General features: G+C 39.8%; 1 pseudogene; it reads left to right on the forward strand.

Moving 5' to 3' along the window:
- The first annotated feature begins 7,105 nt into the window (after positions 1-7,105).
- On the forward strand, positions 7,106-8,836 carry CTBP2P3 (CTBP2 pseudogene 3; annotated as a pseudogene).
- Positions 8,837-13,730: the final 4,894 nt, after the last annotated feature.

Genomic DNA, 13,730 nt, shown 5'->3' on the forward strand with positions numbered 1-13,730 from the left:
CTCACATGCTGCTGGTGGGAGTGCAAAATAGTGCAGCTCTATTGGAAAGCAGTTCGAACTTTTCTTATAAAGTTAAGCATATACTTACTATATGACCCAGAAATCCCATTTTTTTGATATTTAGCTAATTAGAATAAACAGCTCTGTTTATGTAAATCCTGCACACAAATGTTAGTTTATCACAGCTTTATTTCTCATCACAGAAAACCTGGAAACAACCCAAATATTCTTCAACCAGTAAAAGGATAAACAAATTATGGTACATATGCCATTGTATACTCTCAGCAGGACATACTATTGATTCCTGGAACAACATGGATGACTCTCAAATGCATTTTGCTAAGTGAAAGAATTAGATGTGAACAATTACATACTGTCTGATTATATTATATGAAATTCTGGAAAAGGCAAAGTTATAGGGACAGGTATCAGATAAGTGGATTCCGGGGGCTAGGGGTCGAGGGTAAACGGCTGTATCTAAAGGGGCAGCCTGAAGAAATTTGGGGGTTGATGGAACTATTCTGTATCAGGACTGGGGCAACAGATACATTACTCTATGTCTTTGTCAAAGCCCATAGAACTGTACTCCACAAAGTAAATTTCACTGTTTTAATTTTTAAAATTAAATAAAAAACACGTTGGAAAATTCAAAGAAGTGACTACTTTGTCCTAGGCTGCACTGTCCCTCTCTCTGAAGTAATATAATGACTTAATTCATTGGTTAGAGGGTTAACTATAGACACCAAAATTTACAAAATAACGTATACCGGTGAATATTTCAAATATATTATCCTGTTGCAATGTTACTGAAGTGTGGGGATTCTCCATGCTTATAGTGCATTTCTGTAATTTTATATTGCCTCAGCATCGATTTTAAATATAAGTTTCACTTTCTCATGCCAGAGGCAGGACTTCTCCATCCTTGACAATTTCTAGTTCTCCACCACCTCCCAGTTCCTCAGTGTGACTGATACAGATATCTGCCTTACACAACTGCCTCCTGGTGACCACTTCCCTATGGGACAGGAAGATACAACCTCACTGACCCCCATGCTCAGCAAGGGTTGCACAGATACGCCACAGTGACCACGTCTCAGTCACAGCATGACTCCGGAGAACTCATGCCTGCTTGTTATAAACCCACCAATTAGAAGTCCCTGAGGGAAACCTGCTTGGGTAATGCCCAGGACCCCAATAAAGGCTTTAGCCCATAGGACCCACGCTCTTTCTCTTTTACTTTCCACCTGGTGGTTCAGCAGGCATGTCCCTGATGGCCCTCCCTGCGCTCCATTGGTCCTACGAGTTATGCAGTCCTTTACTTTCTGGTAGCTGTAAATAATAAGCTGCTTCTGTTATTTTAAGTGTTCTGTTGAGTTGCCTCTTCGTGTCTCACCTGACTGACATAAAGAGAACCTAACTTCTTTCCTGGTTAGGGCTCTCCTGGAGAGTGGATATTTTGGTAGGAATAAACTGGACATAGATCAGACAAGACCCACGAAGATCCCTGCCAGTGTATACAAGTTTCCTTTGAGAAGAGCACCTGGTCACAGGTCACACACATAGGCATCGGGCCACGTGCTTGGATAACAAGTATCCAGTGAAAGGCATACTGGAAGCATCCATGACCAAATCCCTGGAGCCCCATCAAGGCAGGGATAGAGATCATAGCCACTCTCCAGAGACAGAGACCCCAACATCAAATTAGAGGAAAATACAGTTGTTATAGTTATTACACCATACGTTTTCATTGTCATGGCTTATAACATAAACAGACTTTATGTTTACCATGTACCATAGGTAGAAACTCCAAGATGACTAACATGTTAGAATCCAAAAATTCATGATAGATTTCTCCAGAAAGTTCTCCAAGAATGGGGTTTAGATGCTGTTTCCATTGTGTTCAAGGCATAGCTGTTTGTAATTACTTATATTGCTGAGCATGAACTTTACAATGATCTATTGATATACAGATATTCCATCACAGTAGAATCATTAATGATAAAATATATGGAAAGCAATAAATGAAGCTGCTCATTAGACATAAATGAAGGAGAGAGAGTAAGAGAAAAGTGGTTTTACAGATATGACGAAAAGTGTCCGATAGTTTACAAACAAGAGCCACATGGAAAATTTCACATCTGTTTTGGCAGAAGATCTTGAAGTATGAAAATAACTGAGTTACAAAAATCTAGGAGAAATTAGTGTCAGTAGGATCCCATTTCATGGACTTCTGACTGATTCTTCTCAGGGAAGGGAAAATAGACAAGCTCATATCGGTGCCTCTTTCCTTAATTTCAAATGACTGGTCAATCATTGGGCCTTCTATGGTTGTTGCCATGACAACAAAAAAGTAGAAAGAGAGAAACTAATAACCATGGCTTTTAAGAAACACAATTACATATTTTGTAATAAGATGAACCTAACAGAAAATGGCAGTGCAACATGTTGCTCCAAAAGACTCAATTTGAGTACGCCTTTAAAGTAAGTTGTCTTTCTAACCATCCCATCAAGTGTTATGATATCAAACCCTAGTGAACAACTTGCCCTTGATCCAATGATCCTCCTAGGCTCTTGTTTCTTTGGGCTACAAAAATTCCTACCATGTTCTTCACTGAGAAGCTACTGTCATGCTCAGTACACAATTATTACCAGTTTGATGGTTTTGTTTACCTAAAGCAGAAGAGAAAGCTCTTGCTCAGTTGGCTTTTGGAGACAGTCATCTGAGCTATGACTCCTGTCTTTACATATATATTCCCACTACTGGTTTAGACCACTCATAAGAATTTCTTCCCAAATCATAATTCCTCTTTTAATATTTTTCTTATATTCCACTCTACAATGACAGAGACTATTTCTGGAATTTCACTTTGTAACTAGTGCCAATAACATGACCATCAAAAATATAATTCACATATGTTCACTGATAGTACTGAATACATTGCATTGAAATGATATGCTTGGCTATCTGCTTCTCTCACGAGACAATAATTGCTTCTGGGTTGGGGATGGTGTTTTACTCTATTTCTGGTAATAACAGGAGTATAGTGATGCCTAGTATATCCATGAATATCATGTGCTCAGTTATATAAAGGTAATGCTTCAAGGTTTGATAATAATATAGGATGATAAAATTTAGAATTGTAGAGAATAGTTATTCTCTGTATTTCTTTATACAACAGGTGACATTTCTCATCTCCTGTTCATGGTAAAGAAGATAAATGGTAAAGAATGTGTGATAGTCTAATACAAAGAACATACAGTACATAAACTACACTTATAGCATAATTACATGTAATCAGAGGCAAATTGTGGTTCTTTCATTAATTGGCTATGGCCCTAAAGAAGTCATGTAATATACTGAATTCCACGGTTTTAAGTGGGTGTATAATTAGGAAGCAAAACCAGAATTTTAAAATATAATGACTTTGACTACCTTTAACACATTATGGTGCCAAGGTTTTAATGACATTCTCCTCAATCATTTAGCAGTTTTCTGCTGTACTCAATTAGACAAAGATTACTTGGCTGAGGCTCAGTGCTTTGGGTGTTCTGACCTTGATTTCCTGTTGGTAGTTCTTTAACTCTGGGTCATGATACTTGTATGTTGGTCAAGTCCAGTGTTTTTTTTCCGGAGCAATTGTTAAAAGTACAAATGCATGGACTCCCCAAAGACAAACTAAGTCAGAATTTTTAAGAGTGTGATCATAATATTATTTTTTAAAGTATTGCTACTGGATTAAAAATGCACTTAAAGTTGAATCACTGGTTTATATGCCAATAAAGTTAAATAGAAAAGTCTGACCTCCTTGAGCTCTATCCCCAGAATAGCCATCAAGGAATCGGCTACTTTCTAGAGACAATAAATTTAGTTTTACATATACATATACATATATGGGTGTGTGTGTGTGTGTGTGTCTTCACTATTTTAGTAAATGTTATGTTGTGAAAATTAAATATAATAATCAAATTATATAGACTTAAGCTTTAATGGATATTTCAATGAAAAGCTCCTTCCATATTATAATTTTGTAGATAAATGCAAATTAAAGTAGTTTAACATAAATATAAATGAAGAATTAAAATGCAAATGCAATAATATATAAGTAAACATTTTCAAAGAATGTACATATTTAGATCAAAAGAAGTCACCATACTACACATTTATTGGATACAACATTTTGTTTTTCCACAACAACTGATGAAAGATTAAATATTTACTTTGAGCTTAAGTAAAGTATCCAAATGACCAAAAGAGGTTTTTGTCTGGGCGATGAATATGTTAACACTATGATCTATGAAATTTGGATACAGGTTTTAGATAGAAAATATATGCTGTTGAAGAAAGCCATCTAATGTCTAGAGAAGCAATTACAGATGATCTCTGACTTATGAAGTTTCTGCTTATAATTTTTTGACTCTATGATAATACAAAAATAATACAAATTCAGAAAAAAACAAACTTCAAATTTTGAATTTTGTTCTTTTGCTGTGCTAGCGATATGCAATGCCATCCTTTTGTTCAATGCTGGAAAACAAGCCCACAGCTCCCAGTCAGCTCCGCAATCAGGAGGGTCAATAATCAATACTCTGCTGGGTACTGTGTTGCCAGATGATTTTGCCCGATTATAGGCTAATATAAGCACTCTGAGCACTTTTAAGGTAGACTAGGCAGCGCTGTGATGTTCAGTAGGCTAGGTATATTAAATGTATTTTCCAATTATGATATTTTCAATTTACTATGGATTTATTGGGATACAACCCCATTGTTAAGTAGAGGAATGTATTATTTCATTCTCATGCTGCTAATAAAGACATAACCGAGACTGGGTAATTTATAAAGGAAAGAGGTTTAATTGACTCAGTTCATCATGGTGGGGGAGGCCTCAAGAAACTTACAATCATGGTGGAAGAGGAAGCAAACACGTCCTTCTTCACATGGTGGCAGCAAGAAGTGCAGAGCGAAAGGGAGAAAAGCCCCTTATAGAACCATCAGATCTCATGAGAACTCATTCACAATCATGAGAACAGCAACATGGGAGTAACCGCTCCGGTGATTCAATTACCTCCCGCTGCCAGATCCCTCCCAGGACACATGGGGAGTATGGGAACCACAATTCAAGATGAGATTTGGGTGTGGACATAGCCAAACCATATCGAGGAACATCTGTATTCATTCCTGAATGAAAATTGCTGAATCTGTTTTAATCATATCTCTCCCTGAGCAAAAAGAAACATGCAATTTAGAACTATAGAATGCAATCATTTCTCAGTATGTGAGGAAGATTGATTCCAGGACACCCATGAACAACAAAATCTGAGGTTGCTCAGGTTCCTTATATAAAGTGGTGTTGTATTTGCATACAACCTATATACATTCTTTTGTATACTTTAAATAAGCTCAAGAGTACTTATGATACCTAAAACAATGTAAATGTTACATAAATAGTTGTTATACTCTGTTGTTTTTTTTGTTGTTGTTGTTTTATTTTTCATTTAAAAAAATGTTTTCATTCCATGGTTGGTTGAATCTGAGGATGCTTTGCAGATACAGAGGGCCAACTATATAAGCAAAAATCATTTTAAGGATACTTAAAGATCTAATGTAAATGACTTATATTTTAGTTAAAGAGCTTATTTTATTTCTCCATAGCCCATGGATGGCATCAACTAAATTGAGAAAACATAAAGCCAGCTACATAAAAGAACCAACAAGAGATTGATCTATTTGAGTTCAGAGAAAGAATAAGAAACTGGTAACAGCCCCTTCTCTCTAGAACTCCATTCAATGGGTAAACTTGGGGTTGAGTTTTCTCTCCCTCTCCATGGACAAGGAAAACAACCAAAGAGTTAATAAGTTTTCCTAGACCAGGACTCAGCTGTAAGGGAATCAACTTTCTTGTCTGAGAAGAGCTGAAGAAGTGGTGTGAGGTTTTCTGAGATTACCTAACAGAACATTATTTGGTGATAGTTACACTAAAAGCCAAGACTTTACCACTATACAATATATCCATGTAACAAAACTGACCATGTACCCCTTAAGATTATACAAATAAAATTTTTAAAAAGAAAAAAACTTGTAACAATTTAATATTGTGCCTTGATAAAAGAAATACTTGTATGAAATTTTTGACTTCCAAAAATATACGACTTCTATGTTGCTGACATAAGTTTAATATTAAATTTATATTACTATTTAAGAAATTGAAATCCTCTTACCAAATTGAGTATTTCCCAGATAATCTGAATAACTAAAACAAACCTCTAGGAAAATGATCCATAAAACCATAGAAGTACAAGTTAGCCCCTGCAATGAAAAGGTGCCTCAAATACAGATTCTAAAGATATTTAAAGTTATTTTATTTTATTTTTAAATTTTATTTTATTTTATTTTTTTGAGACGAAGTTTCTCTCTTTTTGCCCAGGCTGGAGTGCAATGGTGCCATCTCGGCTCACCGCAAACTCTGCCTCCCAGGTTCAAGCGATTCTCCTGCCTCAGCCTCCTGAGTAACTGGGATTACAGACATGTGCCACCTCGCCGGGCTAATTTTGTATTTTTTAGTAGAGACAGGGTTTCTCCATGTTGGTCGGGCTGGTCTCGAATTCCCGACCTCAGATGATCCGCCCGCCTCAGCGTCCCAAAGTGCTGGGATTACAGGCATGAGTCACTGCGCCCGGCTATGATTTTTTATATTATAATAAAATTCAAAGAAAAAAACGGATGCCAGTAATTTTTAAAAGTATCTTACCATAATTTTCTCAAGAAGAAAAGAAAATTAGAAGAAAGTAAAAAACGTGGTGCTGGACCAGCCAGCTCGGACCCAAGGTGGCGGGGGTCCAGCCAGACGGCCCCTCATGCCAGCGAGGTCTCCGGTGCCCCTCTGGTCAGCGGGGCCCCAGCAGGGGAGGAGCTGCGAGACCACACGGGACACCGGGGTGGGACCCAGCCCGCGCCAGTGGCTCGGAGCAGGGGCAGGGACCTGGCAGCACCGGGCCAGAGCTGCCTCCACCCCCAGCAGTCGCGGACTCCGGGCGCTCCAGACCTGGGGTGGTGGTGAGGTTAGTTAATTGAATGAGCGATGGTGGCCGAGTTGCAAGCAAACGGGTTTCATCATCTTAAACGGTTTTGAATGAATGAAGCCATATTTGCTTAAAAAGACGGACAGCCCATCGTATAAACTATAGAGTTTGTGGACAGATTTATATTGGGTTCATAGTGGCGTCATGCGTGCAGACTCCTGAGAGTTCCCCAGGTTCTTAGAGGACTACTTTGCCTTTTGATCTGAGAGTTGCAAAGTTCCATAAAGAATGGCCCGTGTGGATAAGCAGAAGTTAAGAGACAGCGAGTGCACCGAATTTGTGAAAGTATCCTCCCCCAGGTCATGAACGGCCCCCTGCACTCCACCACCCCCCCGGGTGGCACTGCTGGACTGCGCAACTGCACCGTGGAGATGCCCATCCCAAAGGACCTGGCCACCATGGCCTTCTGTGATACGCACTCCACGCAGGAGATCCACGAGAAGATTTTACATGAAGCCCTGGGCGCCATGAGGTATCACACCATCACCCTCGCCAGGGCGGACCTGGAGAAGTTCAAGGCCCTGGGAGTGATCGTGCGCATAGGCAGTGGCTACGACAATGTGAACATCAAGGCTGCCTGCGAGCTTGAGATTGCTGTGTGCAACATCCCGTCCGCAGCTGTGGAAGAGACAGCCAACTCAACCATCTGCCACATCCTCAGTCTGTACCGGAGGAACACGTGGCTGTGCCAGGCATGGCCAGAAGGCACGTGTGTTACAGCATGGGGCAGATCCGAGAGGTGGCCTTGGGAGGGGCTCACATCGGTGGGGAGACGCAGGGGCCTCATCGGCTTTGGTAGCACGGGGCAAGCGGTTCCAGTTCGAGCCGAGGCCTTTGGATTCAGCGTCATATTTTATGATCCTTACTTGCAGGATGGGATAGAGCGGTCCCTGGGCGTGCAGAGGGTCTACACCCTGCAGGATTTGCTGTGTCAAAGTGACTGCATCTCTTTGCACTGCAAGCTCAACAAACATAACCACCACCACATCAATGACTATGACTATAAACTAGATGAGTCAGGGAGCATTCCTTGTGAACGCAGCCCGTGGTGCCCTGGTGGACGAGAAAGCCTTAGCACAGGCCCTCAATAATGGCAAGATAAGAGGGCAGCTCTCGACGTGCCCCAGTCAGAGCTCTTTAGCTTTGCTCAGGGTTCCTTGAAGGATGCCCGGAATCTCATCTGCACTCCTCACGCTGCCCCCCATCCAGGTGTCCCTGGAGATGAGGGAGGCGGCTGCCACCGAGATCCGACGAACCATCACAGGTTGCATCCCAGAAAGCTTAAGAAACTGTGTGAACAAGGAATTCTTTGTCACATCAGCTCCTTGGTCAGTAATAGACCAGCAAGCAATTCATCCCGAGCTTAATGGTGCCACATACAGATATCTGCCAGGCTTCGTGTGCGTGGCTCCAGGAGGACTTCCCGCAGCCACAGAAGGGATCATCCCTGGAGGCATCCCAGTGACTCACAACCTCCCCACAGTGGCACATCCCTCCCAAGCTCCCTCTCCCAACCAGCCCACAAAACACGGGGACAATCCAGAGCACCCCAACGAACAAAGCAGAGAATGCCGGAAGGTAATCATTCAGATACACTTGCGGCCAAGAGACAGTGAAAAATTGATGAACTCAGAGAAAACGAATCTGACGGTCTTTTTAGCTGATTCTGGACATATGCATTATTGATGTTGCAGTGTTAAAACTACAAGAGGTAGAAAATTGGATGTCGTCTGCTTACAGAAGCGCTGAAAGACTAGGATGTGATTTATTGACGACCTACTTCTGTCATTATGTGTTAAGTTTTTCACCTTAATCACCAAGAATGAATGGCGCTTTTTCCTTCATCAGTCCTTTGGCCACAGCAGGTCCTGAACACCCTGCTCTAGAATGTTGCATCAAGAGTTCAAACATCAAAATACAAAATACTAAGAGGAAATCTCCATTGGTCTACAGGGGCTGGTTACCGCTTTTTGCTAAGAGGAAGATCACATGACTACAAAATGGGGAGAAAACTGTTTGCCTGTGGTAGACACTTGCACGCATAGGATTGAAGACAGTACAGGCTTCCGTACAGAGAAGTCTCTCACACCTGAACTGCATACTGAGCAGGCAAGTTGGTTTAAGTTCAGTAAAACCTTCTGATGATGCGAAAAAAAGTATTAAGTTTCACAAGCTGTTTGCACTCAGATATACTTTCTCAGTTTCAGATCTTCTGCTATTTTACTGAGTGGAAAGTCTTGAGCTAAAAGGGTTCAAGAAGAATAATGTTGCATTTCCTTATGCCTCAGGAAACACTTTTTATGGAAACTTGTCAGATTGTCTATAAACAAACCCACTTTTTTTAAACATTAATAAAACCTTCTTTTCTTCACGTGGTATTTTACAGAAGAACACTTCAGAGATATTAGATGTGATTGATTTTAACAAATCCTATTAGATTTGTATCAACTAGTTACATGCTCGATTCATAGTCCTTTGTGAATCATTGTCTTTTTATTTAAAAAGATGGCCTATTTTGAGCCTCTGTATAGGTACATTCCTATTTTAGTGACAAAAGAAAAACTTTAAAATTGTTCCAAACAGAAAAATAATGGCTATCAGAAGTATGTTTTGTTTTAGTGTGAGTTACCATTACTATACTTGTTTATTTTAAAGGTGGACATTTAGCATTCAGTGTAGTTTTCAATAAAAAATAACAGAAGTTGATTAAGTAACTTTATTGCCCTGCCAAGAGGAACATATATCAGGTCCTGGTGGTTTTACAGATGGGTTTTACACACCCTGAAGGAAGAGATAATCCCAACTTGATAGAAACTATACTTTAAAACAGCATGTAAAAAAAGAAATCTTACAATCCATTTTACGTATCTATTCTGTTTCAATAAACCCAGAATAAGGCCAGGCACGGTGGCTCACGCCTTTAATTCCAGCACTTTGGGAGGCCAAGGTGGGTGGATCACCCGAGGTCAGGAGTTTGAGACCAGCCTGACCAACGTGGTGAAACCCCATTTCTACTGAAAAAAAAAAATACAAAAGTTAGCAAGGCGTGGTGGCAGGTGCCCGTAGTCCCAGCTACTTGGGAGGCTGAGACGGGAGAATTGCTTGAACCCCAGAGATGGAGGTTGCAGTAAGCCGAGATGGCACCACTGCACTGCAGCCTTGGTGACAGAGTGAGACTACATCAAAAAAATAAAATAAAATAAAAATAAAAACAGTAATATAAAATTATATTTAATACCACACTCCTGTGTGGACATTGAGGCATATAATTCAAATCATAGTTAGCAGATTATGCTCAACTAAAACAAGACTCAATATCTACAATAGAGTGTTCCTTTAATCAACCTAGAAATTCAAAGCAATTTCAATCAAATTATCAACAGGTGTTTTTAGTTTACTTTTTGAAACTTTACAATTTGATTTCAAACTTCTTACAAAGGAGCTACCAGAAATAGTCAAGTCATTTTGAAGTATAAAGAAGAATAACTTGCCCTATAGAATAATAAAATTTACCATAAAACTCAAGTAATCCAGATACTGGGATATTGGCACAATAGTAGATCAATAAATCTCTAGATGACTAGAACTGAAAGTGAGAATTCACATATACGTAATAAAAAAGTAAAAATGTGGACAGGCAAGATACACATTAGTTTTAGGATTAACAATTTCCTTCTTGAGAAGGAGGGTGAGTAATGAGTAAATATTTCAAAGGATATTTTTAAGAGCATATGGAATGTTATATTTAAGTAATCTTAAGTAAATATGAAAAAATTAAGGATTATTTATCTGCATGATGGGTGAATGGATATTTGTTAAATATTTTCTTCATGATATTGAAATATTTCACAATACAAACAAATTGAAAACTCATTTACTACACTAGTAGTAACAGAACTTGAATTTTAGACTCTCCTTGGCCTTCAAGTATCTCTGTAAACTTCACTGTCTAAATATTACTTTTATCATTTATAAAATACAGCTGTCAGAATAGATCTGTAGTTTAAAGCCATAGTCCATGCCCTAAACCACAAATGACAATGTTCCTGTTTGTTCCAACCTATGTAATTTCCAGGAATTTCAATGGGCCTTGACTTTTAGCTGTATTTATCAGTCAGCCTTTATTTGTCGAATAAGTAACTACAGTTCTTAACTCCCCTTGCTTATTCCTCCAAGAAGAAGGCAATTATCATGCCATCTTCAATGTAATGCACTAACTGGTCCTTAATGGTTATCATTTCCAAGTTTATCCTCATCTAATTATGACAACATGCCCATATCTTCACATATCCCTTTGGGAAAACAGCAAATGTATACTGGGTTCCATTCAAAACATTGCAAACAGAGCCTGGCTAGACTGCAATTCTGTATGGAAAGGAAAGCATTAGCTAGGCCTGTAGAGACATGCCAGTCCCTGGTTGATTCTCTCACCCTTCCTGTACAGTCTTTTCTATATACGATACAGCTGAAGCAAATGAAGATACCATCTTGTTTAATCCTCTACTCTTAACTTCCAGAATGTCTGCTTTGCATAATGACCAAATAGGACTATTAAAGGGGAATTTAGTAGGAAATAATACTCCTACTATAACCATTCTCTTAACCAGAGGAGTGATCTCTTGCTACCCTCCAGATAAGTTGTTACTTAGCATGATCAATTAAAACTAGGAAAAGAACAGGCTTAGACAATATCCCTGATGTAAAGAATAAAGACAACATGACCATTCACTCATTTATATCCATTCCAGTATGGCATTTTAGTAAAGCTGCTGAGACTTCAGGGTAATCACTCCAGTTATCTGTAATGCAACCCAATTTGGAAGTCAACCCATTCTTTAATCTCCTCATATACAACATTTCCATAAGCTCCTTTCATCATTGGGCCTTTCATAGCACCATCCTTATTCCCCCATGGATTACTGTACCTTGAGCTGTACCATACCTTGCAGAATTAAAGTGCTTTGCATACCACTCACTTTCCACTTCACTCAAATTGTTACTTAAGACCCAGGATTTTCCACCAGGGATTGGACAACTGGGTGAGCAGATCATGGGCTCTCAATCCTTTACAGATTCTATTACTTTAATTGAGGGTAAAATCAGCCCTGGTTCAAATATTTTTTTCATTCTAAACCTCAATCCTTATAAATTAACTTGAATTCCTCAAGGCCTTGGAGTATAAGGAGAATGGATCATGTCGTCTCCATTTAAGGGTGCTGAGTTTTTTTCTGGCAGGCACTCAGTTACTGGGGTTACATTTGAGCTTGTCAGGTTTGGTTTTATTCTTTACTATGGTAATCAATTTCAGTTTCTAACTTAATCCTTAGGCCTACATCCTTATTTTGGAGCTTGATCCTTAGCTTTAAAACCTGTCCTTTGTGGAGTCTAAATAGAATGTCCAAGGTGCTCAACCGGGCTGCTTCACTCTTCCTGGGCAGGGAGTCACGGTCCCTGGGAGCCTCACAGCAATAGCTTACTGTTAAGCCTCACAGGATCTCTTCCAGCACACCCACAACCCAGCCCAGGAGACCTGCTGAGAATCCACACTAAGACTTCCCCAGTCTCCCTCTGTGCAACTGCCTCTTCTCTGATATACCGGTTTCCCAAATCCCAGCTGCTTCAGCAGTCAGTACTTCAACTGTGTCATCTCAGTTCAGCAAGACCCCACTGACTTGAGCTGCACCTCCTGGCAACGTGCCCCGAAAGTGCCCAGGCAGAAAGGGTGATCAATGCGGTTCATACACCGTTTTCTCTTAAAGAGCATGGTTTTGCACTGCCTTTTGTTCAATGCAAGAAAACCATTGCCTCGTATGTTGTCCGGTTTTATAGTCCCTCGTGACGGGAGGGCAAGAACAGTACCTGTCACTCTGTCAGGCTAGAGGTGGACATCTGACTGTCTTTTTCCAGTGTGATTTTTTTTAAATAGCCCAAATTCAGTATATTTTCATGAAAGTGCCAGTAGATGTCAGCAAAAGGCAAGGCAGTGATACATGAATTTTGTAGTTGATGCCAAAACTTCAATTAGCAAAGTCAGAGTTCAGTCAAACATGTCAATTTTCTAAATGTAGTGACTCTACCTATAATTCTGTTTGTGGGGTGGTGGGTGGGGTTGGATAGTTGGAAGTGAAAAGAAGAATCTGATCTGCCAGATTAACAACTGACCTGCAAGTCATCAGTTGCTCTGACCTGTCGTACCGGGCCCTGAGAATTCAAACCCAGAGGACTATTCACAGAAAAAAAAAATGCTAAGCAGTGATTTATTTAGTTCCATCTTGAAGGGGAGAGTACCCTATTACACCAGATTTCTGAATAAGGTGGTGACCTGCAGGTGTGCCCCCAAGACTGACTAAACCTTAGAGAGGCATATTCCTGTCTCTAGCCTGACTTTCTTTTGCTTACATTTAATTTATGAAACATGTGAGTTCTTTTTCTGCCCCTTTGAGATATAAATCTTTTAAAAATTTTCTTGCCAGTTTTATATTGCAGGACTTTCTCAAGAACTTGGGACCATTCCTTTGAAATGTAATCATAAGGGAAGATAGCTCCTTCATCTCCCAGTTTCTGTCAGAGGAGAGAAGCCTAACTTCAGTGGACACCAAGTTGTAAAACTACCTTCTGCCATGAAGGTATGGAAATGTTTATTTTTCATTTGA

The sequence above is a fragment of the Homo sapiens genome, chromosome 18, assembly GCF_000001405.40.
Source record: "Homo sapiens chromosome 18, GRCh38.p14 Primary Assembly".
In the NCBI taxonomy this organism is placed as follows: Eukaryota; Metazoa; Chordata; class Mammalia; order Primates; family Hominidae; genus Homo; species Homo sapiens.